The sequence below is a fragment of the Homo sapiens genome, chromosome 9, assembly GCF_000001405.40.
Source record: "Homo sapiens chromosome 9, GRCh38.p14 Primary Assembly".
Taxonomy (NCBI): Eukaryota; Metazoa; Chordata; class Mammalia; order Primates; family Hominidae; genus Homo; species Homo sapiens.
Window position 1 is genome coordinate 34,262,460 of NC_000009.12, and position 26,165 is coordinate 34,288,624.

Sequence of the window (26,165 nt, forward strand, 5' to 3'; positions counted from 1 at the left end):
CACATCCCTAACCCAAAAATCTGAAATCCTTTGAGCATAATGGCACTCAAAAAGTTTTTAATTTTGGCCAGGCATGGTGGCTTATGCCTGTAATCCCAGTACTTTGGAAGGCTGAGGCAGGCGGATCGTTTGAGCTCAGGAGTTCGAGGCCAGCCTAGGCAACATGGTGAAACCCTGTCTCTACCAAAAAAAAAAAAAAAAAAAAAAAAAAAAAAAATATATATATATATATATATATATATATATATATATATGGCCAGGCATGATGGCATATGCCTGTAGTCCCAGCTACCTGGGAGGCTGAGGTGGGAGGATTGCTTGAGCCTGGGAGGCAGAGGCCACAGTAAGCCAAGATCACACCACTGCACTCTAGCCTGGGTGACAGAGTAAGACCCTGTCTCAAAAACAACAACAAAAAGTTTTGATTTTTGAAGCATTTCAGATTTCAGATTTTTAGATTAATGATACTCAACTTGTAGACAGAGTTCCTGGATGGAATTTCACTCCTCTCCTTCTCTTTTCCCCACTGTGCCCAGCATCATGTCTTACTGACAGTGGATGCTCGACTGAATGAACAAATACATGAAATAAGGAAGAAAGGAATGAATCAGAACAAACTCAAGGCTCACATTTAACTTTACCTGAGTTAGTTTGCTTTGCCTGAAGGGAGTATGGGTGTGTTCCTGATCCAGTGCTCGGATACATTCCTTCAGCTGCAAAGTGGGAGAACAAGCACATCAAGTATCAAGTGCAAAGGGAGAGTAACAGACCTGATGCCGCCTCCACAGGAAGCTTGTTTTTCTTCAATAAACCACACTCAGACAATCCTCCAAAAGGAAGTCAAAATGGCCTGTAGTTTCCATTCAACAAGAGAAACCAAGCTAGATTGGGAAACACCATCCTGTGCTGCCTAGCTGAAGGCCTCCCAGCTTAGAGGCTGGGATCCTAGGACTGCCCCTGAGTTGACGGCGGGGAACAGACAGACGCTGGGACCTACCCTCAAGTCCCAGAGTTCAAGCTCATGTGGTGGTAGTTCTGGCTTGCTGGCTCCCTTTCTCTCCTCACATTCTTCCCAACTGTTGATGCACTTAAACAGACAAAATATCTATATCCACTTCCCCACTCCCTGCTCACACATGCACACCCGTTGGCGTAGAGTCAAGCATAGATTCAGATATAAACTATCTGAATGGGGTAGGAGAAATTCTAGAGCCAGAGCTAGAAGGAAACTGAGAAATCACCTAGGCCTACCCCCTCGTTTTATTTATTTTTTTCTTAATTTTTTTTTTTTTTTGTAGAGATGGGGGTCTCTGTATATTGTTGCCCAGGCTGGTCTCAAACTCCTGGCCTCAAATGATCCTCCTGCCTCAGCCTCCTGGAGTGCTGGGATTACAGCCAGCACTTTGACCACACACAATTAAAAACGACCCTTCATTTAAAAACAGCAGGGTCTGTGGCCCAAAGGCAAAGGAATGTTCCTTGCTCATGGCTGTACTCCCTCAGTGAGAAGCGCTCATTGGACATGATAAGGACAGCAGAGATCTGGATATGTGGACCTCCAGGGGAAACACTCCCATCAGAAACAGTGGTGGGGGTCGTGGGGGGCAAGATGAGGGAGGAGAGACCTTCTATTTCTGAGTGATGCATCTAGGCTAAAAGATAGTAAAAGAAAAGAAAAGGAGCTGGGTGCAGTGGCTCATGCCTGTAATCCCAGCACTTTGGGAGGCTGAGGCGGGCAGATTATTTGAGCTCAGGAGATCGAGACCAGCTTGGCCAACATGGTGAAACCCTGTCTCTACTAAAAATACAAAAAAAAAAAAATTAGCCGGGCATGGTGGCACATGCCTGTAATCCCAGTTACTCAGGAGGCTGAGAAAGGAGAAAAGCTTGAACCTGGGAAGTAGAGGTTGCAGTGAGCTGAGATCATGCCACTGTACTCCAGCCTGGGTGACAGAGCGAGACTCCGTCTCAAGAGAAAAAAAAAAAAAAGAGGGAAGAAGGTGGAAGCAATCCCTTGGAATTGCCACCAAGAATAGGTAGTTTGCCTCCAGAGTGTGCTATGGCTGTTCTTAGCAGCAGCCACAGATGCCCGCAACTGCCCTACCTCTATCCAAGAAGCTGCAGGGTATAAACAGGTGTGAGGAAATTTCCTCTTTTATTAAAAATCTATCCAGTATTCCCCAACTTTAGCACTGAGAAGATTCTCCACTGAGAACGAACAAGTAATCAAACCCTGTTCCTCACAGACTCAAATTCAAGCGTGGCCACCAATCCCTACAAGCTTTTTTTCTTTTTTTAAATAAAAAAAGTTTGGCTCCCTCTCTCACCCTCCCAACTTACCCCTCATGAAGTCTGGAAAGAATGTACCTACCTGGAGACTTCAGTTCTGATAAAAAATAAGTAAATAATGTGGAGCAGCACAAGGCAGCATATACAACTGGAAAAAGGAATGAGGAAGAGCTCTATGTACAGTCATGCAGTGATCTTGAGGATGCCGTTAAGTGACAAAAGCGAAGTGCAAAATAGTGTTGAGAGTATGTTAGCATTTTTTCTAAGAAAAGGGGTGAGTGCAAACATATATATAGACAGAAAAATGATTTTACAAGGGGAGGAAGGTAACAAGGTTGAGAGTACAGGGATGGAAACTATACTTCTTTGAATGTGGCTTATTTTACAATTTTTACTTTAAAACCACATAATTTTTTTTGCTTTTTGCTGTTTGTTTAAGAGATGGGGTCTCACTTTGTATCTCAGGCTGGAGTGCAGTAGCACAATCACAGCTCACTGCTGCCTTGAATACCTGGACTCAAGTGATCCTCTCACCTCAGCCTCCCAAGTAGCTTGGGTTACAGGTGCGCACCACCACACCCAGCTAATTTGTAAATGTTTTGTAAAGACAGGGGTCTCCCTGTGATGCCCAGGCTGGTCCTGAACTCCTGGGCTCAAGTGATCCTCCTTCCTTGGCCTCCCAAAATGCTGGGATTACAGGTGTGAGCCACAGCTCCTGGCCTAAATGTTTTAAAATAATTACAAAATAAGGTTAAATCAAAATAAATAAGGCAATTCGTAAAACCAAAACCAAACAAATGAACCTAACACTATGAAATTGGCAGGCTTAAACACACAGAGAAGAATTATTTCAGGTGATTTGACAGCATAATATTATGACTGTACATCCTTAGTGGGATACAACCCAATTAAAAAGAAAACTGCGATAAAAATCTTGAACTGAATTAATCATATTATAAATAATATTAGCATTATTTTGAAATACATATATATTAAAGTAGAGCAAATAAATGTTGCTAGGAACTAAGATTTCTAGCATAACAGAAAAAAGAGACAAATAAACATTTAAATAAATTAAATAAAAACTGTGTAATTTTAATTTTATTTATTTTTTTAATATTATTATTCATTGGCTTTCTTCAGACGAGACAGTTTATTTTTTGAGACAGGGTCTTGCTTTGTTGCCTAGGCTGGAGTGCAGTGGTACAATCATGGCTCACTGCAGCCTCAACCTCCTGGGCTCAAGCAATCCTCCCACCTCAGCCTCCCAAGTAGCTGTGACTACAGGCGTGTGCCACCACGCCCAGCTAATTTTTAAGTTTTTTGCAGAGACAGGGTCTCATTATGTTGCTCAAGCTGGTCTCAAACTCCTGGGCTCGAGTGATCTGTCCACCTTAACCTCCCAAAGTGCTGGGATTATATGTGTGAGCCACTGGGCCTGGCCTGCAATCTTAAACTAATTTATTACTATAAATCCCACATATACCACATATATTTTTCCTTTTCAAAACAAAAAATAACACCTTATTTATTAGCTCTGTCCACAGAAAAGGCCCAGAAGCAAGGGCTAACACAGTAGTGATAAGCACCCCTAATACACAGACTGAAGTCTCTAAACACCATTTCCGTCTCAAAAAAACCAAGGCTCAACCAGGCGCGGTGGCTCATGCCTGTAATCCCAGCACTTTGGAAGGCCGAAGCAGGCGAATCACGAGGTTAGGAGTTCAAGACCAGCATGGCCAACATGGTGAAACCGGGTCTCTACTAAAAATACAAAAAATTAGCTGGTTGTGGTGGCAGGTGCCTGTAATCCCAGCTACTCGGGAGGCTGAGGCAGGAGAATCGCTTGAACCTAGCAGGCAGAGGTTGCAGTGAGCCAAGATTGTGCCACTGTACTCCTGCCTGGGCAACAGTGTGAGACTCCATCTCAGAAAAAAAAAAAAAAAAGAAAGAAAAAGAAAGAAAAAGAAACCAAGACTCATTGAAGAAATGGCTGATTCGAGGTCTGGAGAGGGAAATGTATAAAATGAGCCTAGAACATAGGCTCTTGTCATATCAGAAAGCCAGGAAGCTATCAAGAACGAGTAGGGTTGTACCAAAAAGACACAGGAACATTCTTGAAACAGCTCCTATTGGCTAAATATGTTGAATTTAAGCAGCAAAAAAAGATATAATGATTTCAGTTTATAATAATAGAAAAAAAGGTAAACAACAACAATAAAACAAACTCATATTATGTTTAGGTAACATGAACTCCAACTCATTCTGAAAAGTGGTGAATAAATTAAAGAATCATCTTGCTTCCACTACAAACTGTATGTCAGGAAAATCAGATAGTTGAGGGAAAATTATTCTTTTCAGCTAATACATACAGAAGGAATATTAGAATTAGAATATCACCATTCTGGAACTCTTAATAAAATAATAGATATAGATGAGATTCTTCAATGGCTGATAAAATTCTTAGGTTAAAAACGGCTGAATGGCATGTCCTTAACAGAGACTAAGGGGAAAGAAAAGTAAAAATAAATAAAATAAAATAAAAAATAAAGGCTGAAAGGAAACTTTATAATAGAGAAATTAGGCTGACAACACTTGAATCTCTTTTCAATCTTAAAATCACAAAGAGAGACAACTAGACATTCTCTATCTCCTAATGTATTGCTACAGAAAATCTAAGAACTACCTATGAATTGTTTTTGCCAAAAAATATAGAACCTAAATCTGATCACATCTCTAATTCAGGACTGTCCCAACAGAAATAATACATGAGCCACAAATGCAAAACACATATGTAATTCTAAATTTCTAATAGTCATATCTTTTTTTAAAAAAGAAAAAGAAACAGATAAAATTAATGTTAATTATATATTTTATTTAACTCAATATATCCAAAATATTATTTCAGCATGTAGTCAATATGAAAAAAATAAATGAGATATTCTACAAGCTTTTTTGGTAATCAAAATCCAGTGTGTATTTTACACTTAGAGCATATCTTAATTCAGACCAGCCACATTTCAAGTGCTCAATTGCCACATGTGGCTGGTGGCTGCCATAGTGAACAACACGGCTATAGAGCTTAGCCACCTGACAGGAAACATAAAGGATAATGAGTAACATGTTAAACATCAACACAAAGATGCAGGTGGCCAAGTACAGAATGTGGCAAATCTTACAGGACAAGTGACCCAGTTTTCTTCAACCAATACACTGATATAGAAAAAATGAAAGAGGGAATAAGAACTCACATAGGATTTTATTGGCACCTTGATTTGAACAAGTTAACTATAAAAAGACACTTATGGGACAATTAGAGGAATTATAATACTTATTGGATAATAAAGAATTACTTCTTTAGGTAAGATAATGGCATTATGGCTACATTAAAAAGTATCTCTTTGAGATACATTTAAAAAAATTTTTTTTTGAGATGGAGTCTTGCTCTGTTGTTGCCCAGGCTGGAGTGCAGTGGCATGATCTCAGCTCACTGCAACCTCCACCTCCTGGGTTCAAGAGATTTTCCTGCCACAGCCTCCCGAGTAGCTGGGGTTGTAACAGCCTGCCACCATGCCCAACTAATTTTTGGTTATTTTTAGTAGAGACAAGGTTTCACCATGTTGGCCAGGCTGATCTACCTCAAGTGATCCACCTGCCTCGGCCTCCAAAAGTGTTGGGATTACAGGCGTGAGCCACTGCGCCCAGCTGAGATATATACAATATTTATGGAATAAATGACATGATGACTAGGATTTTCTTTCTTTTTTTTTTTTTTTTGAGACTGAGTCTCACTCTGTCACCCAGGCTGGGGTGCAATGGCACGATCTCGGCTCACTACAACCTCCACCTCCTGGGTTCAAGCGATTCTCCTGCCTCAGCCTCCTGAGTAGCTGGAATTACAGGCGCTCGGCACCACGCCCAGCTAACTTTTGTATTTTTAATAGAGACAGAGTTTCACCATGTTGGCCAGTCTTGTCTCGAACTCCTGACCTCAAGTTATCCACCTGCCCTGGCCTCCCAAAGTGCTGGGATTATAGGCGTGAGCCACCGCTCCCAGCTGGATTTTCTTTAAAATAATCCAACCAGGGGGAGGGAAGGGGTTGCTTAGATTTTTCATATGTTGGTAACTGTTGAATCTGACAGGTATATGGGAGATCATGATACTATTTGTTCTACTTTTCTATGTTTGAAAAATTAATATAATTTTAAAGCTTGGGGAAAGAGAGAAAGCTTAGCGGAGTTAACCATTCAGCAACTGCAGAAATACTTCTGTTCCTAATTGGCATGGATTGACCAGGGGAAAAGAAGGCAAGGAGAGAAGAAAATAGTTGCCTAGAATTGTGAGAGTCTGTCTGGTCAGCCCTCTATCTCCAACCCTGGCATTCTATTACTACATAAGAACAGGGCAGTTGCTTTGCTGATTCCATCCCACATTCATCCACTCTGCCTGTATGTAATGGGCAGTCTTTCAAGAAGGATTTTTAGATTAAAGATTTTGAACAACTTACAGCCAGTAGACTCTGATTTATTTCTGCACCTTCCATCTTTGTCTGTCTATCTGAGTCCCTTGCATCTGCTGCTCTTTCACTGCCAGCCAAGTCAATAAAAGAGATCCTAGAGAAAAGACACAGCAGGAGTGACTTCTGTGAAGCTTTATTTTATTTTATTTTATTTTTATTATTATTTTTTGAGACGGAGTCTCACTCTGTCGCCCAGGCTGGAGTGCAGTGGCGCGATTTTGGCTCACTGCAACCTCTGCCTCCCGGGTTCACGCCATTCTCCTGCCTCAGCCTCCCGAGTAGCTGGGACTACAGGCGCCCGCCACCACGCCCGGCTAATTTTTGGTATTTTTAGTAGAGTCAGGATTTCACCGTGTTAGCCAGGATGGTCTCCATCTCCTGACCTCGTGATCCGCCCGCCTTGGCCTCCCAAAGTGCTGGGATTACAGGCATGAGCCACCGCGCCTGGCCAGAAGCTTTATTTTTGTATCAGCCAGCATTCTGTGACCACTGGAAGAAATTAACATTGGCCCATCCTCTGGAAAGAAAATACATTACTGAGCTGGGTGTGGTGGCTCACACCTATAAACCCAGCTACTTGGGAGGCTGAGGTGGAGCACTGCTTGAGGCCAGGAGTTCTAGGCCAGCCTAAGCAACACAGCAAGACCCCATCTCTTAAAAAATTCTAAAAACTGGCTGGGTGTGGTGGCTCATGCCTGTAATCCCAGCACTTTGGGAAGCCGAGGCAGGCAGATCACGAGGTGAAGAGATCAAGACCACCCTGGCCAACATGGTGAAACCCCGTCTCTACTAAAAATACAAAAATTAGCTGGGTATGGTGGTGCATGCCTGTAGTCCCAGCTACTTGGGAGCTGAGGCAGGAGAATCACTTGAACCCGGGAGGCGGAGGTTGCAGTGAGCCAAGATCACGCCACTACACTCCAGCCTGGCGACAGCAAGACTCCATCTCAAGAAAAAAAAAAAATTGGCTGGGCATGGTGGCTCATGCCTGTAATCCCAGCACTTTGGGAGGCTGAGGCGGGCGGATCATGAGGTCAGGAGATCGAGACCCTCCTGGCTAAAATGGTGAAACCCTGTCTCTACTAAAAATACAAAAAATTAGCCAGGCGTGGTGGCGGGTGCCTGTAGTCCCAGCTACTCAGGAGGCTGAGGCAGGAAAATGGCGTGAACCCGGGAGGCGGAGCTTGCAGTGAGCCGAGATTGTGCTACTGCACTCCAGCCTGGGCAATAGAGCGAGACTCCGTCTCAAAAAAAAAAAAAAAAGAAAAGAAAAAAAATTGTAAAAATTAGCTGGTAGGCTGAGTAGCTGGGACTACAAGTGTGGACCACCATACCTAGCTATGTTTTTTTTTAAGAGACGGGGTGGATGTGAGGGCGATCTGGCTGCGACATCTGTCACCCCATTGATCTAACTCCTAGGCTCAAGAGATTCTCTCACCTTGCCCTCCCAAAGTGCTGAGATTACAGATGTCAGCCACCATCAGCCTACCACTTAATTTTTACCTTTTTTTTTTTTTTGAGACGGAGTCTCGCTCTGTTGCCAGACTCTTGAGCCTAGGAGTTCGAGACCAGCCTGGGCAAAACAGAGAGACCCCGTCTCAACCCTGGAGATCAATGGGGTGACAGATGTCGCAGCCAGATCTCCCTCACATCCACCCTGTCTCTTAAAAAAAAAAAATAGCTAGGTGTGGTGGTCCATACCTGTAGTCCCAGCTACTCAGGAGGCTGAGGCAGGAGGAATGCTTGAGCCCAGGAGTTCCAGGCTGTAGTAAACTATGATCATGCCACTGCACTCCAGCCTGGGTGACAGAGTGAAGCCCTATCTTACAAACAAAGAAACATGAGTGTCAGCTTTCCAAGAGTATCACAAGATTCTGATCTGTCAGTTGATGCTGGTACTGTCCACTCAAACATGTCTATTGGTTTTAATAATTTATGAGAAAGTATGACTAAAATTAATAAAACATTCTTCCCAAAAGGCTAAATGACCACAATGCTAATCACTTAAGTAACCACTTAGGTAATTACATAGAAACTTTTGCGGACAGCAATCCAGCAAAAAAAAAAAAAAAAAAGAAAAAGAAAAGAAAAACATTCATTACTCAGAGGTGAAATAGGCTCATCCATCAGTGTGGCAGATTATTTGCTAAGAGAGCACCAGAGAGGCAATGAATGTATCCAATTGTCTTATGGCTTCTTTCAAGAAGAATGGATTAATCTTCTCCCCCTACCTTTTTTTGGCGTGTAAGCTCTCTGAGATGCATTCCCTACTGTTTCTCTGCTGAAACTGTGTTTCATGTTAGAAGCAATCAATGTCCCTTTTAATAACTTAGGGTTGACCAACAATAGGTCATTACTTCATGGTTAATCAACTGTTGACACTTTAGTACAATGATTTATTTCAGGGCTAACAACTCTACTCTGTATCCCTGCAATGAAGAACTCCATGGTAGCAGGGTATCCTGTTGTTGAGAAAACATACTTCAAAGTCACATTAAAGGAAAGGCAGACAATGTAACTCCCTGATATTTCCAGCTCACCTGCCAAATGTCCTCTTGGCTGAATCTTTGATCTGAATTTGGATGACGGCATGGGAGCGGGAGGAGTCTGCATTAACTCCAGTGGCCCCAGTGCTGCGCTCCTTGCTGCCCTTTAAGATCACCTGAAAATAAAATCCACAGGATGACTTCCCCAAGGAGTAAACAAAAGCCTCTGGCTACTAAGAGTTGGCTAAGAGCAGTAGACAGCAGACATATAATTGTGTCAGTGCACTGCAGTTTTTTCTGTCCAGGTGGAAAACTGCTCAAACACTAAATTATACCTAGTTAGTACCCAATGACAATGAAAACAATGTGAAATACTAATCCTGTGGAAGAACATTCCATAGCTCAAGAGCTAATTTACTTCTTGATCTCATATACTTTTTTTAGTATCTTTGATGGATTTAGCCTAACTAAAATCCCCAGGGCATAACTTGGCTCCAAAGCAAGGACTCCTAATACCCATCTATCTTAGTAACCAAGGCAAAGGACATAAATGTGCATTAAAGAATGACTAATCACATCCACCTGTTCTACCAGGATGCAGTCATAAAGGAGGGCAGGCCCGATGTAGAAATATGGAAGTGATGAGTTACTGTAATTACCATAAGCCCATGATTTCCCTTGAGACTAATCCTCACTCACCCTAGACTGGGAGTAAAGACTAACAGGAGTCCTTCCGGCCATCATGGAATGGGGCAGGGGAGGTGAAGCGTCAGGATTGGCCTGCAGCCACTGAAAACACAGCCATTTAAGAACATGCTGCCCTTAGTTTGGACAGGGGTATGAGTGTTAGTTACTGAGAATAAAAAAGGCAAAACAAAATTTTTTTGAAATAGGGGCTTACTCTGTTACCCAGGCTGGAGTGCAGTGGTATGATCATAGCTCACTGCAGCCATGACTTCCTGGGTTTGAGAGGTACTCCCGGCTCAGCCTCCTGAGTAGCTGGGATTATAGGTGTGCATCGCCACACCTGGCTAATTTTAAAAATTTTTTGTAGAGACATGGTCTTACTATGTTGCCCAGGCTGGTCTTGAACTCCTGAGTTCAAGCAGTCCTCTCTCCTCGGTCCCTCAAAGTGGTAGGATTATGGGCATGAGCCACCTCACCCAGCCACAAAGAACTTTAAAAACATTATTTGGGCCGGGCATGGTGGCTCACACCTGTAATCCCAGCTTCTCAGAAGTTCTCAGAACTTATGAGGCAGGAGGATCACTTGAGCCCAGGAGGTCGAGGCTGCAGTGAGCTGTGATTACAGAGCAAGACCCTGTCTCAAAAAAATAAATAAATAAAAATTTAAAAATAAAGATTTAAAACTGTATTCACTTTTAAAGCCAGTAAAAGAAAAGGGGGTAGCAGTGGACAATGTATTTTTTCTTTTTTTTTTCTAATAAAAAAACAGAGATGGGGTCTTGCTATGCTGCCCAGGCTGATCTCGAAGTCCTGGGCTCAAGCAATCCTCCCACCTCGGCCTCCCAAAATGCTGGGATTACTGGTGTGATATATTTCAATGAAATTTTAGAATGTGGAAAGATAATGAAGGGATGGTAATTGCCAGCAATGAAGTTATAAACTAAGTAAGTAAGTAGGAAAGGGGGGAGTCAGTCTATCAGCCCATTAGGATCCCTAAGAGGGGCTCAGACTCTGGAAGCACCAGGTACTGTTGGGATAAGGCAAAGATACACACAGTCAGTGATCAGAGCAGTAAAGCCCTTGGTGAAACAGTCCCCATTCATCCCCACCCTGTGCAGGAGGCAGAAGGTATAGTCTCCAGAAAATGGGAACCAGAGACCAAAGAGGACTAAGCACCAGGCACAGTGTGGGGCAGAGTGAAGTGAAAGAACTTAAACAAGGATTAAGTAAAAGCAACACACCAGCATTCCCCAACATCAGTCCTCAGCCAGAATTCTCTGGAGAAACCCTCACCCAAGCCCTTCACATGTTTACATTTTGGGGACTTCCCCGGCAAAGCCAATTAACTTTCAACCTATAGTGAAGCTTAATGATCAGCAAGCACACCTCTGACACACAAACTTTGTGACTGTTATTTTTTTAGTGCCTCATACTTAAACGTGAATAGAAAGCCAAAGCCACCAGCATGAAAACACCAAACCAAAAGAGGGAATAGACAAAGCACTTGGAAATTTAAAATATGATAAAGTAAAAATTGTATTTAAAAGGTAGTAAGATTTAGGCTGGGCATGGTGGCTCATGCTTGTAATCCCAACACTTTGGGAGGCTGAGGCAGGAGGATCACTTGAGCCCAGGAGTTCAAGACCAGCCTGGGCAAACAGTGAGACCCCCAACTCTACAAAAATCAGCTGGGCATAGTGGTGCACACCTGTAGTCCCAGACAGGAGGCTGAGGCAGTAAGCTGCACCCCAGCCTAGGGGACAAAAATCCCATCTCTTAAAAAATAATCACCTACTATCAAGTTCAGGGGGAAAAATAAATTAAATAAAATAAAAGGTTGTAAGATTTAGTAGTTTTTTTTTGAAGTTGTAAGTTAAGGATATGTCCCAGAAAGTAAAACATAAACAAGATCTGCACTCTCATGTTTGTTGCAGCCCTGTTCACAATAGCCAAGATTTGGAAGCAACCTAAGTGTCCATCAAGAGATGAATGGATAGGCCAGGTGCAGTGGCTCACACCTATAATCCCAGCACTTTGGGAGGCCGAGGCAGGTGCATCACCTGAGGTCAAGAGTTTGAGACCAGCCTGACCAATATGATGAAACCCCGTCTGTACTAAAAATAGAACAATTAGCCAGGCGTGGTGGCACATGCCTGTAATCCCAGCTACATGGGAGGCTGAGGCAGGAGAATCACTTGAACCCGGGAGGCGGAGGTTGCAGTGAGCCGAGATCGCAACATTGCACGCCAGCTTGAACAACAAGAGCAAAATCTGTCTCCAAAGAAAAAAAAAAAGAGTAAAGTGAAAGAACTTAAACAAGGATGGATTAAAAAAATGTGGTGCTCGTACACAATGGAGTACCGTTCAGCCATGAAAAAGAATGAGATCCTGTCATTTGCAACAACATGGATGGAACTGGAGATCATTATGTTAAGTGAAATAAGCCAGGCATAGAAAGACAAACATCACATGTTCTCACTTATGTGTGTGATCTAAAAATCAAAGCAATTGAACCCATGGACATAGACACTAGAAGGATGGTTACCACAGAGGCTGGGAAGGGTAGTGGGGATGTAGGGGTGGTTAATAGGTACACAAAAAAAAGAAATAATGAATAAGACCTACTATTTGACAATACAACAGGGTGACTATAGTCAACAATATTTTATTGGCTGGGCATGGTGGCTTACACCTGTAATCCCAGCAGTCTGGGAGGCTAAGGCAGGTGGATCACTTTAGTGCAGGCCTTTGAGACCAGCCTGGCCAACACGGTGAAACCCCATCTCTACTAAAAATACAAAAATTAGCCAGGTATGGTGATGTACACTTGTAGTCCCAGCTACTCAGGAGGCTGAGGCATGAGAATTGCTTGAACCCGGGAGGTGGAGGTTGTAGTGAACTGATATCGCACCACTGCACTCCAGCCTAGGAAACAAAGCAAGACTCTGTCTCAAAAACAACAACAACAGTGTTATTTGAGGCCAGGCCTGGTGGCTTATGCCTGTAATCCCAGAACTTTGGGAGGCTGAGGTAGGGATCGCTTGGGCCCAGGAGTTTGAGACCAGCCTGCGCAACAAAGCAAGACCTCATCTCTACAAATTAAAAAAAGAATAACTGGGCCAGGCACAGTGGCTCCCACCTGTAATCCCAGCACTTTGGGAGGCCAAGGCGGGTGGATCACGAGGTCAGGAGATCGAGACCGTCCTGGCTAACATGGTGAAACCCCATTTCTACTAAAAATACAAAAAACTAGCTGGGCATGGTGATGCACGCCTGTAGTCCCAGCTACTTGGGAGGCTGAGGCAGGGGAATAGCTTGAACCCAGGAGGCGGAGGTTGCAGTGAGCCAAGATTGTACCACTGCACTCCATCCTGGTGACAGAGCGAGTGTCTGTCTAAAAAAAAAAATTATTTGATAGAATCCTCACCACAGCCTAATGTTAGGCGAATACAAAGATTATCTCCACCTAACAACCTCTTGAGTTTGTTCCTCTGAGTTTGTTCAACATCTCCAGTTGAGGAACAAACTCAGGTTGATTTATTCATAGTCAAACATCTGCTGTGTGGCAGAGCCAAATTCCACATCCAGTACATCTGACTCCAAAGTCCATGTATTTTTCACTACACTGTGGGGCACTTACAATAAATTCATTTATTTTGCAGTGAATTAAGAATAATGAGGCTGGGCACGGTGGCTCACGCCTATAATCCGAGCACTTTGGGAGGCTGAGGTGGGAGGATCACAAGGTCAGGAGTTCGAGACCAGCCTGACCAATGTGGTTAAACTCCGTCTCTACTAAAAATACAAAAAATTAGCCAGGGATGGTGGTGCGCACCTGTAATCCCAGCTACTCAGGAGGCTGAGGCAGCAGAATTGCTTGAACCCAGGAGGCGGAGGTTGCAGTGAGCTGAGATCGTGCCATTGCACTCCAGCCTGGGGGACAAGAGTGAAACTGCATCTCAAAAAAAAAAAAAAAAAAAGAATAAGAAAGTCCTATTTCATTTTTTCTCAATCTCTCACCATTTTAATTTATATCATATTGAACATAGTCACAGTTTCCAAATTAAGAATCCAAAAGTTGACAGAGCCAAACTTCAACAATAAGACATAAAATATCTTAACAAGTAGTAGTGGTTGCTTTTTAGAAATTTAATTAACTAAAAATATTTTTTCCATGATCTAAGCAATAGTATGTTTCTAAAGATTATCTGTATGTGAGATGTAAAATCAAAATTCAGAATCATACTTAAATACACCCATTTTGTAAAAAGTTTGCTAAAAATTTAAAGAGACAACATGATGAATCCTTTTGTAAAGAGAAGACTGCTAATTTATAAAGCTAGATCATCAACTATATGGCTACCACCTTTAAGCTAATGAAATCATAAGAGCTACAGTGGTAATCTCTTATACTGGATATGGCAAGTGCTGAGAAAAAAGCACTGCTAACTAAGCTCAGATGCTGGGTAAGACACTTAAGGCCAGCGCTGTGACTGAACCATCTGGTTTAAATGCACTTTCTGGCCCTGGCTTCTCCCTGTCCCTTTCACTTCATGTTTACACAGGCTGGGATGCGATGCTGATGGATCATCATAGATTGGTATCGTTCCTTTCTCAAACTCTTTTTTTTCTTCATTAGAAAAGACAAACTTACTGTGGAAAACTTGGAAAATATAGGAAAAGGATAAAGAAGAGAATATATATCTCTCATAATCCCAGTGATTATAAAATTCTGGTATATTTCCTTTTAGAGTTTTAGATTTCTTACAGGTCTTTTTTTTTGTCATTTACAAATCCTATGAAAAGACAAGGGAGGTCTTAAACCTTTACATTTGTAAAAGCAATATGTCTGACTAATAAGGAACACAGAGAAGCTAAGTGACTTATACAAGGTCACATAGGTAGAATATTGTCAGGCCAGGAATAGAAGCCAGATATCCTCTTCTACATGTGAGTAATGATGTTACTAATGATGCTAGTCCACTGAGACCTAGTGAGAGCTCAGAGAGGCCTCAAGACCATACTTCACAAGGAAACGTGGATATGAACAGGAAATGCAAAGGGCGGCCCTGTGGTTCTTCCTCAAGAGTGTCAAAAAAGATTGGCTTCTGAGATTGTGTTACAGACTTTTGAACTTGGGTTTTCACTGCATCTTGTACACCATAATGTACTGGGTATCTCTAAGTGCATCTCAGAGACCTAACATGTTGAGATGCCCTTTCCTGGTTAAATATATTTTAGAGAAGGCATGAGGAGTTTCTGGTCCTTGGGCCAATTTTTTCCAATAACAGCTTGCTGTAGTCATGCCTTCCAGAAACTATATAATAATGCACCTGAGCTATGAAGAGTAAAAATGAGGCAGTCTGTGAATATCAAAGTCATCACATTTTTGTAAATGACATACACAACTGAAGTATAGCAGTTAAAACGGTGAAATCTGGAGTCAGGTTGCCAGGGTTCACATGCCAGCTCTACCATGTGGTTGTGTAGACTACCGCAAGTCACTTAACTTTTAAGGGTCTCAGTTTCTTATCTATAAAATGGGAATTATGGCCGGGCACAGAGGCTCACGCCTGTACTCCCAGCACTCTGGGAGGCTGAGAAGGGCGGTCACCTGAGGTCAGGAGTTTGACACCAGCCTTGCCAACATGGTGAAACCCCATCTCTATTAAAAATACAAAAATTGGCCGGGCACGGTGGCTCACGTCTGTAATCCCAGCACTTTGGGAGGCCGAGGTGAGTGGATCACCTGAGGTCAGGAGTTCGAGACCAGCCTGGCCAACCTGGTGAAACCCCATCTCTACTAAAAATACAAAAATTAGCCAGGCGTGGGTAGTGGGCACCTATAATCCCAGCTACTCAGGAGGTTGAGGCAGGAGAATCCCTTGAACCTGGGAGGCAGAGGTTGCGGTGAGTCAAGATCATGCCACTGCACTCCAGCCTGGACAAGACAGCAAAATTCCATCTCAAAAACAAAACAAAAAGAAAAGATACTAACGAACTAACATCTTTGTGTAAACTTCTAAAACTTAAACTATTTCTTTTTTTCATAAATGTAAAACAATCAGTTTCATGGAAAAATATAGCTTTAGAGATCAACATGAAATATCATGGGCTCCCTAGAGCAAACCAAAAAAAAAAAAAAAGGAAGGAAGCAGATAAGAGAAAGAGAGAATCTATTTGGGGGAAATGCAACTGTAGGAGGTGAGCAAAATTAATGCAATCACCTTTAAAACTACTAAGCTCCCTTTTCCTCTCACTGCCTCCTCCTTCTCAAACTCCTTCCCTAACTAAACTCTGTTGGGCAAGTTTCTAAATCTAGGTTCTCTAGAGAGAACATATTACGTGAATAGTAAAATGGGAATCTGCTACAATAGGAAGTAATGATAACTGGGCCTGGTGTGGTGGCTCATGCCTGTAATCCCAGCACTTTGGGAGGCTGAGATAGAGGATCACTTGAGCCCAGAAGTTCAAGACCAATCTGGGCAACACCTACACAAATTTTTTAAAAACATTAGCCAGGTGTAGTGGTGAACACCTGTGGTCCTAGCTACTCAAAGGCTGAAGTGGGAGGATCGCTTGAGCCCAGAAGGTTGAGGTTGCAGTGACCCGTGATTGCACCACTGCACTCCTGCCTAGGTGACAGAGTGAGACTCTACCTCAAAAAAACAAAACGAAAAACTGTGGTGGTGCTGGGAAACATCATTCAGGGACTTAATAAGAATAATACATGTGGAAAGTTGAGCCAGCATCATACTATAAATTTTATGTATGTCATCTCACTTCCTTCTCCCCATCATCCAACCCAATCATCTATCATTATCTACATGTTTCAGGCTCAGAGAGATAAAGGATGTGCTTAAGGATACATGGCACTGTAACTGGCTGCCCATTACAGCCAAGGCAATGATAAAACATGAAACAAGTTTATCAAAATTCCTAGGAATGAATACCTCTGACTATATAAAATGGGTATAGGAATGACTGTAAAAAATTGTGAATCTCTAAAACTGAAAAACATGCCCATTAATTGTCTGACAAAATCTCGATTCCAAATCTGGGAAATGTGATGAGGCAGTGAGTCCTCTGTAAAGGCAGGAAGTTCTGGTGCCTGCGTTGGCAAGAAATCAAATACACTGGGAAGGAGAAACTTCCTGGAGGAAGGACAATCCCATTTGAATAATGAAGCTACCAGTTGTGCAGGCAGGCCATGCCTGAGTAATCCTGAGGGTGATCTGAGAGGGTAATACTCCAAGATGACACTTGAGCAAACACATGGGTGATACCTGAGCGAGTATGAACAGTGACACCTGAGAGTGAAATGTGACACCTGAGTTAGCAAGTGCTGTTGTTTCAAGTCAATAAATATTTATTTATGAGGATAACTGTGTCAGGTATCCATAAATTATATAAGCTTTCCACCTTGATCTCAGCTGGCTTCCTCCTTGTACAACACCATATGTCCTGCAGACTGAGGGTATCAATGGCGATAATATGTTGACTAACAAGGAACTTTTTTTCTGATTTTCTTAGGAACCATACTTTAGAATAGAACAGTGCCGGCCGGGCGCGGTGGCTCACGCCTGTAATCCCAGCACTTTGGGAGGCCGAGGCAGGCGGATCACGAGGTCAGGAGATCGAGACCATCCCGGCTAAAACGGTGAAACCCCGTCTCTACTAAAAATACAAAAAATTAGCCGGGCGTAGTGGCGGGCGCCTGTAGTCCCAGCTACTTGGGAGGCTGAGGCAGGAGAATGGCGTGAACCCGGGAGGCGGAGCTTGCAGTGAGCCAAGATCCCGCCACTGCACTCCAACCTGGGCGACAGGGCGAGACTCCGTCTCAAAAAAAAAAAAAAAAAAAAAAAAAAAAAAAAGAACAGTGCCATAAACTCTTCCAGGATGCAGGGGTTGACTCAACACCAGACTGCCAGCATTTACAGTCTAAAGGCAATGAAGAGTCTTCTTCTGAGTGTTTGCTTCTTTCGCCTTTAATTGGTCTAATCTTCAGTGACAAAGGAATCCTGAGGACCAGACTCACCTGATGCTCCTGGCCAAATGTGGGAGTGGCTGGAGGTAGGGGCAAGAGGACCACAGGGAACAGAGTATGAGAAACAATTTCCTTAGGACTCCACAGCAGAGGAAGCTCTGGGGAGAATGGTCACAGCCCCAGGGCAGCCCTTCAGCATGCCCCACACACTTTTGTTCTGTACCTACCTTTGCAATCACTAGAAAGAGGCTCTTAGTGATTGCACTAAAACAGACACACTCGGGCGCTATACTCAGGTTTTGGATCCCAGGACCCAGGAATCTAATAACGCAAACGTGAAGTGTCATCCCTTAAGCAAAATTTAACTACAGTATTTGTCTCAGGAAAAAGAAACTTAGAAAAAGATATATACCAATGATGGGCCACCATGCCACTGCACACACCCAAGTCCCAAGTATTAATTTTGAAAAAGCAACAACAAAATTTTCCACAAACCCTGTTATTTGAAGATTAAACAGTCCTTTAAACACCTAGTTTTAGGCAAATGATAACAGAAGACATTGTTATCAATGTATTAATTCATTCAGTGAGTGTCTTTTCTCTTCTTTCTTTTTTGAGATGGAGTCTTGCTCTGTTGCCTAGGCTGGAGTGCAATGGCACGATCTCTGGTCACTGCAACCTCTGCCTTCCGGGCTCAAGCAATTCTCCTGCCTCAGCCTCCCAAGTAGCTGGGATTACAAGCGCCCACCACCATACCCGGCTCATTTTTGTATTTTTAGTAGAGGTGGGGTTTCATCATGTTGGCCAGGCTGGTTTCAAACTCCTGACCTCAAATGACCTTCCAGCCTCGGCCTCCCAAAGTGCTGGAATTACAGGCGTAAGCCACCATGCCTGGCCTCTCTTAATTTCTTAAGAAAAACTGATTTCTAATTATACACTATAGGTAGTAGAGTATCGTGAAAAAGGCTTCAGAGTGAGATCAATCCAAGCTGAAATCTTGCTCTGCCAGCTGTTAGCTATGTGATTCTGGGTTATCACTTGATTTTAACCTCAGTATTTTCACCTCTTAGAGAAGTTTACAATATTTACCTTGATTTTGTGATGACTAAATGGGGTAATATTTGCAAAAACCTCTAACAAAGCATTTGGTAGATAGTGCTCACTAAACATTTGCAATTATTATTAGAACACAGTGAAAAGGAAGGCAGGAAAGATCAAGAGTAGAATCAGCTAGAGAGGCTTGAACTTTGGCATTCGCTGGAGGCATTTCTACAATGCCAAACCTGACTGCTTTCCCTGGTCTCTTAAGCTTGGTTGAAGACTCAGATACTTCTCCCTGGAGGAGTGTACCATGAAGCTATACTAAGCTAAGTCTTGTTAAGTGCCTGGCCTATCCTTCTAGTCCTCTCCCTTTTACTCTAGCCAGGCTTGTTGGATGTACTAGAAGAAAGACTGCGATGGCTGCATGTTAGAATCACCTGGGGAGCTTTTAAAATAATACCCATCCTCATACTGCTGGTGGGAGTATAAAATGGTAAAGTCACTTTGGAAAACAGTGTGGCATTTCCTAAAAAAAGTATGGCCCAGCGATTTCACTCCTAGGCATACACCCAAGAAAATGGAACACACTTGTCCACACAAAAACCTTTGTACATGAATGTTCACAGCAACATTATTCATAATGACCAAAAGTGGAAACAACCCAAATGTCTATCAACTGATGAATGGATAAATAAAATGAGGTATCCATACAATGTAATATTATTCAGCCACAAAAAGGAATGAAGTCCTGATACATGCTGCAACATGAATGAACTCTGAAAATAAACTAAGTGAAAGAAGCCAGACAAAAGGTTGCATATTGTATAATTCTGTTTATATGATACGGACAGAATTGGCAAATCCACAGAGATAGAAATTAGTGGTTGCCAGGCACTGGGGGCAGGAGAAATAGGGAGTAACTGCTAATGGAGTTTCATTTTGGGGTGATGAAAGTTTTCTGCAATTAGATAGTGACAATGGTTGCATAACTTCATGAATATACTTTTAAAAAATCACTGAATTGTATACTTAAAAAAAAAATCCCTCAGGGAGGATGCACCATTCCTGGAGGTCTTGCACTACCAAGTCAATGCATGGAGCGGACAGAGCAAGCTCCTACTCCATCTCCCTGTTCCAAAAATCCATTTAATAGGTTGTCCTTGAATAGAACATGTTAAACTGCTGAGAAAAGATACTACACTTTCTATTCTGAACCACTGGTCTTAAAAAAAAAAAAGATACTACATTTGATCTTAGCCAAAAGACTGAGAAACAATGAATTGTATGCTTTAAAAAACTGAGCGGGACGCAGTGCATCATGCCTCTAATCCCAGCACTTTGGGAGGCCAAGGCTGGTGGATCACTTGAGGTCAGGAATTCGAGACTAGCTTGGACAACATGGTGAAACCCCGTCTCTACTAAAAATACAAAAATTAGGTGGGCATGGTGGCAGGAGCCTGTAATCCCAGCCACTCAGGAGGTTGAGGCAGGAGAATCACATGAACCTGGGAAGCAGAGGTTGCAGTGAACCCAGATCGAGCCATTGCACTCCAGCGTGGGCGACAAGAGCAAAACTCCGTCTCAAAAAAAAAAAAAAAAAAAAAAAGAATATTATGGCCGGACATGGTGGCTCATGCCTGTAATCCCAGCACTTCGGGAGGTCAAGGTGAGAGGATTGCTTGAGTCCAGGAGATTGAGACCAGCCTGTGCAACATGGTGAAACCCCATCTCTACTAAAAATGCCAAAAAAATTAGCCGGGTGTAGTGGCACACACCTGTAGTCCCAGCTACTCAGGAGACTGAGGTGGGAAGGATCACCTGAGCCCAGGGAGACTGAGACTGCAGTGAGCTGAAATCGCGCCAATGCACTCCAGCCTGGGCAATAGGAGTGAGACCCTGTCTCAAAAATAAAAAATAAAAAAAGAATGAATATTATGGTATGTAAATTATATCTCAATAAGAAAATTATATTAAGAAAACTAGTGGATCATACACTTTAAAAAAGGTGAATGTTACGGTATATGAACTACATTTTAATTTAAAATAATAATAATACCCACACCTGGGCCCCACTCCTGAGGGATTCTGATTTAATTGACTTGAGGACGACACAAGCAAGCATTAAAAGACATTATGATGAAACTGGGAAAACAAGCCACAGAATGAGACAACATGCTTATGATACAAATAACCAACAAGACTCATATCCGGAATATACAAATCGACAAGGAAAAGACAGATAACCCAAGATGAGGAAAAGACCCAAACTGGCATTCCCAAAAGAGGAACTCCAAATTACAAGTTAAAAATATGAGAAAATATTCAATTTTATTCTCAATCAGGGAAATGCAAATTAAAACCCCACAATAAAATATAATTAAACACTCCAGACTGGCAAAAATTCAAAATATCTATCAATTGAAAGTGTCTGCAAGATGAAGAGCAACGGGATTGCTCATATACTGCTTGTAGGAATGCACACCACTCTGGGAAACAGTCGGCAGCATTTAGTGTAGCTGAAAATATGGGCCACTGTGCCTGTCATCCTAACACTTTGGGAGGCTGAGGTGAGAGGATTGCTTGAGCCCAGGAACTTGAGACCAGCCTGGGCAACATGGTAGGACCCTGTCTCTACAAAGAATAAAAAAATTAGCCAAGTGTGGTGGCATATGCTTGTGGTCCCAGCTACTTGGGAAGCTGAGGTAGGAGGATTGCTTGAGCCCAGGAGGTCAAGGCTGCAGTGAGCCATGTGTTCATGCCACTGGACTCCAGCCTGGGCTGGACAGAGCAAGACCCTGTCTCTAGAAAAAAATAAAAATAATAAAAAAAGAAAAAGCATATCATCTGACCTAATCATTTCACAGCTAGGTATATATCCTAGACAACCCATGTGCTCTGTACAGAAATACATGTATAAGCACACTCACAGCTGCAATGCTCCAAATAACTCTAAAATAGAAACAACCCCAGTTGTTTATTAACAGGAGAATGGATAAATTGTGGTATATTCCTATGATAAAACACTCTACAGAAAATAAAAATGAAGAAAACTAAAGCCAAATGCAAAAACCTCAATGGAACTGAAAAGCATAATATTGAGCAAAAGAAACAAAACACCAAAAAATACACAGTGTAGTTCTACTCAAGCAAAGTTCAAAAACAGATGAAAACTAACTTAGATGGTTTGGGGATAAATACATAGGTGGTAAAACTATAACAAATAACAAGAAAGTGATCAGCACAAAAGTCAGGATAATAGGGGGGTGTTATTGGAAAGTCACACAGGGGGTTTGTAGGGTGCTACAATGTTCTATTTCTTGATCTGAGTAGCTGATTACAAGGGTGCTTGTTTCTTTATACTGTACATACTTAGGTTTTATGCATTTTTCTGTATAGTGCTATTTTTCACAATAAAAAAGGTTAAATCATTTTTTAAGTAAGGAAAAAAAGGCTCCAAACAATCTAATGTAAAGCCAGGGTTGAGGAACACTGCATTAAAGGAAGGTTCAACAGAAATCTATTTGTACTTACGTTAATAAATGCCCAGAACAGGAAAAAAAAATTAAATATTTTACCGTGGACAGTGGATAGCTCAGTGGGGAACAGGGGAAGTGGGGTATGTATAGTAAGTTAGAGGGGCCTTTACTATCTTCTTACATATTTCTGTAATGTTTAAACTTAATGATAAGTATGACTTTTATTACAATAAAAGAATAACTTAATAAAAGAAGCAGATTGAAAAATTCCTTTGGAAGGACACACAAAAAACTAATAAAATTAGTTGCTCTGGAAAAGGAAATGGAAGTGGGTATTTTCACTTTTGAATTCTGAACTCATGTGATAGTATTACTTATTAAAAATTGTATTTAAAATAAGGGCCAGGTGCGGTGGCTCACGCCTGTAATCCTAGCACTTTAAGAGGCCAAGGTGAGAGGACTGCTTGAGGTCAGGAGTTCGAGACCACCCTAGGCGACACAGCAAGACACCATCTCTACAAAAAATTTTTAAAAATTAGCCAGGTCTGGCAGGGCGTGGTGGCTCACGCCTGTAATCCCAGCACTTTGGGAGGCCAAGGTGGGCGGATCATGAGGTCAGGAGATCGAGACCATTCTGGCAAACACGGTGAAACCCCGTTTCTACTAAAAAATACAAAAAATTAGCTGGGCGTGGTGGCGGGTGCCTGTAGTCCCAGCTACTTGGGAGGCTGAGACAGGAGAATGGCATGAACCCGGGAGGCAGAGCTTGCAATGAGCAGAGATTGCGCCACTGCACTCCAGCCTAGGTGACAAAGTGAGACTCCATCTCAAAAAAAAAAAAAAAAAATTAAAAAAAAATTAGCCAGGTGTGGTGGCATGTGCCTGCAGTCCCCAGCTACTTGGGAGGCTGAAGTGGGAGGCTGCGGTGAGCTATGACTACACCTCTATACTCCAGCCTGGGCAACAGAGCAAGACCCTGTTGCTTAAAAAAAAAAAAAAAAAAAAGTAAAAAGAATTTAAAGTGCAAATATTTGTCTCCAGCAGCTTTTCCCAGAGCCCACTGCCATAGAGAAACACATTAGCAGCATTTGAAACTGGCCCAATAAGGCTGGGTGCGGTGGCTCACGGCTGTAATCCCAGCACTTTGGGAGGTCGAGGCGGGTGGATCACCTGAGGTCAGGAGTTCAAGACCAGCCTGGCCAACATGGTGAAACCCTGTCTCTACTAAAAATACAAAAATTAGCCAGGTGTGGTGGTGGGAGCCTGTAATCTCAGCTACTCAGGAGGCTGAGGCAGGAGAATTGCTTGAACCCACGAGGCAGAGGTTGCAGTGAGCAGAGATTGTGCCATTGCACTCCAGGTTGGGTGACAGAGCGAGACTCCATCTCAAAACAACAACAACAACAACAAAAAGAAACTGGCCCAGTAGTATCCTCCCAATGAATTAAGTTCTCCCACATGCCCTACCTCCCACTAATCGTGGGAGAAACCCTATAGAGAAACAAGCTATCCTCTCAGAAAAGAATTCACATTTTACAGATGGGAAGTGGTGGGCTTGTCATTGCCCTTTGCCTAAATATAAGTCCACAGTACTTGCTTAGTAGCAAAATGAATTTGTTCCCTGTACTTACACTGTTGTGGTGGGGTAATAAAGAAGGAAGAATTAATTACCTCTAAGAGGAGCTCCACACTGTCCACCTGAAGCTCTTGCAGTCCCACTATCTGCACCATGTGCTTGCTATCTTCTCTTGCAAAGAGCCTGCAGATGCAAGAAAGTGGTTGGTATGATGGTGCTACTAAAACAGACTTTGTTCTTGCCTCCCCAGAAACCATTCCACCATTCCTCTATTAAGTAGCAGTTTTCTGTTTGAGTGGGATGGATGCTTATCCTCCTCCCAACCCCACCCTCCTGACCTCAGCCCGATTCAGGGGTGGTTGTTGATTGTTGTAAAATAAATCAACAACTCTGGCTACAATTAAAAGAATGAGCACATATCTAAACTATGCTAATCAGTGGATGATGTACACCTGGCTATACTGTGATTTGTTCAGAGGTGGATATGGGATCTCTGCTGGTCCAATCAAAGTAAAGTCCTGGTCTCTGGTTGTTAGATGCCTGGTGAAGTGATGCTCTCTCTCTGTCCCTGGATGTGAAAGCATATGGCCCTGTGGCCCTGGGAGCAGTGGAAGCCATTTTGTATCTACAAAGAGAGTTGGCTTCAGGATGAAACTAATAACACAGAAGACAGAATGAAGAGATGCAAATAAACTGGGTCCTTATTGCATCCCTGAGCTGCTGGAGTAAACCAATGCTGAAGCCTGACTGTCCTCTAAGCTTTCCAGTTATTTGAGCCAATGATTTCCCTAAATGCTTAAGCTAGTACACATGGGGTTTTCTTTTATTTGCAATGTAAAGAGACCTGATACATCTTATAAAGGAGCAAGGAAGAGCTGGGCTGCATCTGAATGCCTTAGGACTGCATTCAAGGTAATAAATGGTTATGGTCTACCATCATCATTAAACCAGATCCACTGAGAGGCATATGTTGAATCTATCAAAGACTCTAAGATTATTTTTCCCTCTTAATAAGATACTGATTAGGGTTAAGAACGGAATTCCACTTCATAACTTAAAATACAAGAATGATTTTCTCAAAAATAATTTTTTTCTCAGTCTATGCTTCATCCCAGTTTTCCAGATCTCTACAGAAGGATTGGAGGGAAACAGCCTCACCAATGCCCATCATCTCTCTGAAAACAAATCTATTAAAACAGTCAGCCTTCTAGAGTAAAAGAATCTAGCCGTTGGATGCAGTGGTGTGTGTCTGTAGTCCCAGCTATTCAGAAGGCTGAGGCAGGAGGATTGCTTGAGCTCAGGAGTTTGAGGCTGTAGTACGCTATGATTGCGCCTGTGAATAGTCACTATGTTACAGCCGCGTAACACAGCAAGAGCCCATCTCTGTTTAAAAAAAAAAAAAAAAAAGGAAGATCTAACTTTTAGAGCCCTGCTGTCATTCCTGAACATATTTCCCAGGCCTTAATCTCTGAGCCCACCCCAGAAAGATTCCTCATGGACAGCCTAAAATGTACTTCAGCTTTTATGCAAGGTATAAAAACAATTTATCCTCTACTTCTAGGAATTAATTTCAAGATCCTTAAGCTTTGTTTTCCAGTTTAAGAGGCACACTGAACATACATACTTTTGTCTACCCTTGTCAAAGCCCCACTATTATAGAAAATAAATCTTATTTAAAAATTGGTCAGGCACAGTGGCTGAAACCTGTAATCCTAACACTTTGGGAGGCCTAGAGAGGAGGATTGTTTGAGCCCAGGAGTTTGAGAACAGCCTGGGTAAGTAACATAGGGAGACCCTGTGTCTACAAAAAATAAAAATTAGCAGGGCATGGTAGCATGTACCTGTAGTCCCAGTTACCTGGGAGGCTGGGATGGGAGGATCACTTCAGCCCAGGAGGATGAAGCTGCAGTGAGCTGTGGTGGCACCACTGTACTCCAGCCTGGGCGACAGAGCAATACCTTGCCTCAGAAAAAGAAAAAAAAAAAATCAACAGGGTAAAGCATAACAGCATAAACAGGAAAGGGTGCCATCAATGGACCAGAACATTTCAGAAGCCCCAGAAAGGTAGGAAATAGATTAGATTAGACAATTAAATGGATATAT

The 26,165-nt window shown here is 42.4% G+C and overlaps 1 protein-coding gene and 1 pseudogene across 10 annotated transcripts in view; both read right to left on the minus strand.

The window, feature by feature from the left end:
- The window catches only part of KIF24 (kinesin family member 24), an 81,292-nt gene that overhangs the window by 10,080 nt on the left and 45,047 nt on the right, over positions 1-26,165 (minus strand). For 8 of the 10 annotated variants that reach the window (XM_011517863.4, XM_047423343.1, NM_194313.4 and 5 more), the window contains 4 exons: positions 24,158-24,245; positions 9,350-9,471; positions 6,798-6,903; positions 642-713 (listed from right to left, as the gene is read on the minus strand). In XM_011517863.4, coding sequence (XP_011516165.1) covers positions 642-713; positions 6,798-6,903; positions 9,350-9,471; positions 24,158-24,245 — 388 coding nt within the window. Of the gene's footprint in view, positions 1-641; positions 714-6,797; positions 6,904-9,349; positions 9,472-24,157; positions 24,246-26,165 lie in introns of those variants that run through there. The other 2 variants (XM_047423340.1, XM_006716764.4) reach the window with 2 other exon arrangements.
- RNU2-50P (RNA, U2 small nuclear 50, pseudogene) lies at positions 20,069-20,211 on the minus strand (annotated as a pseudogene).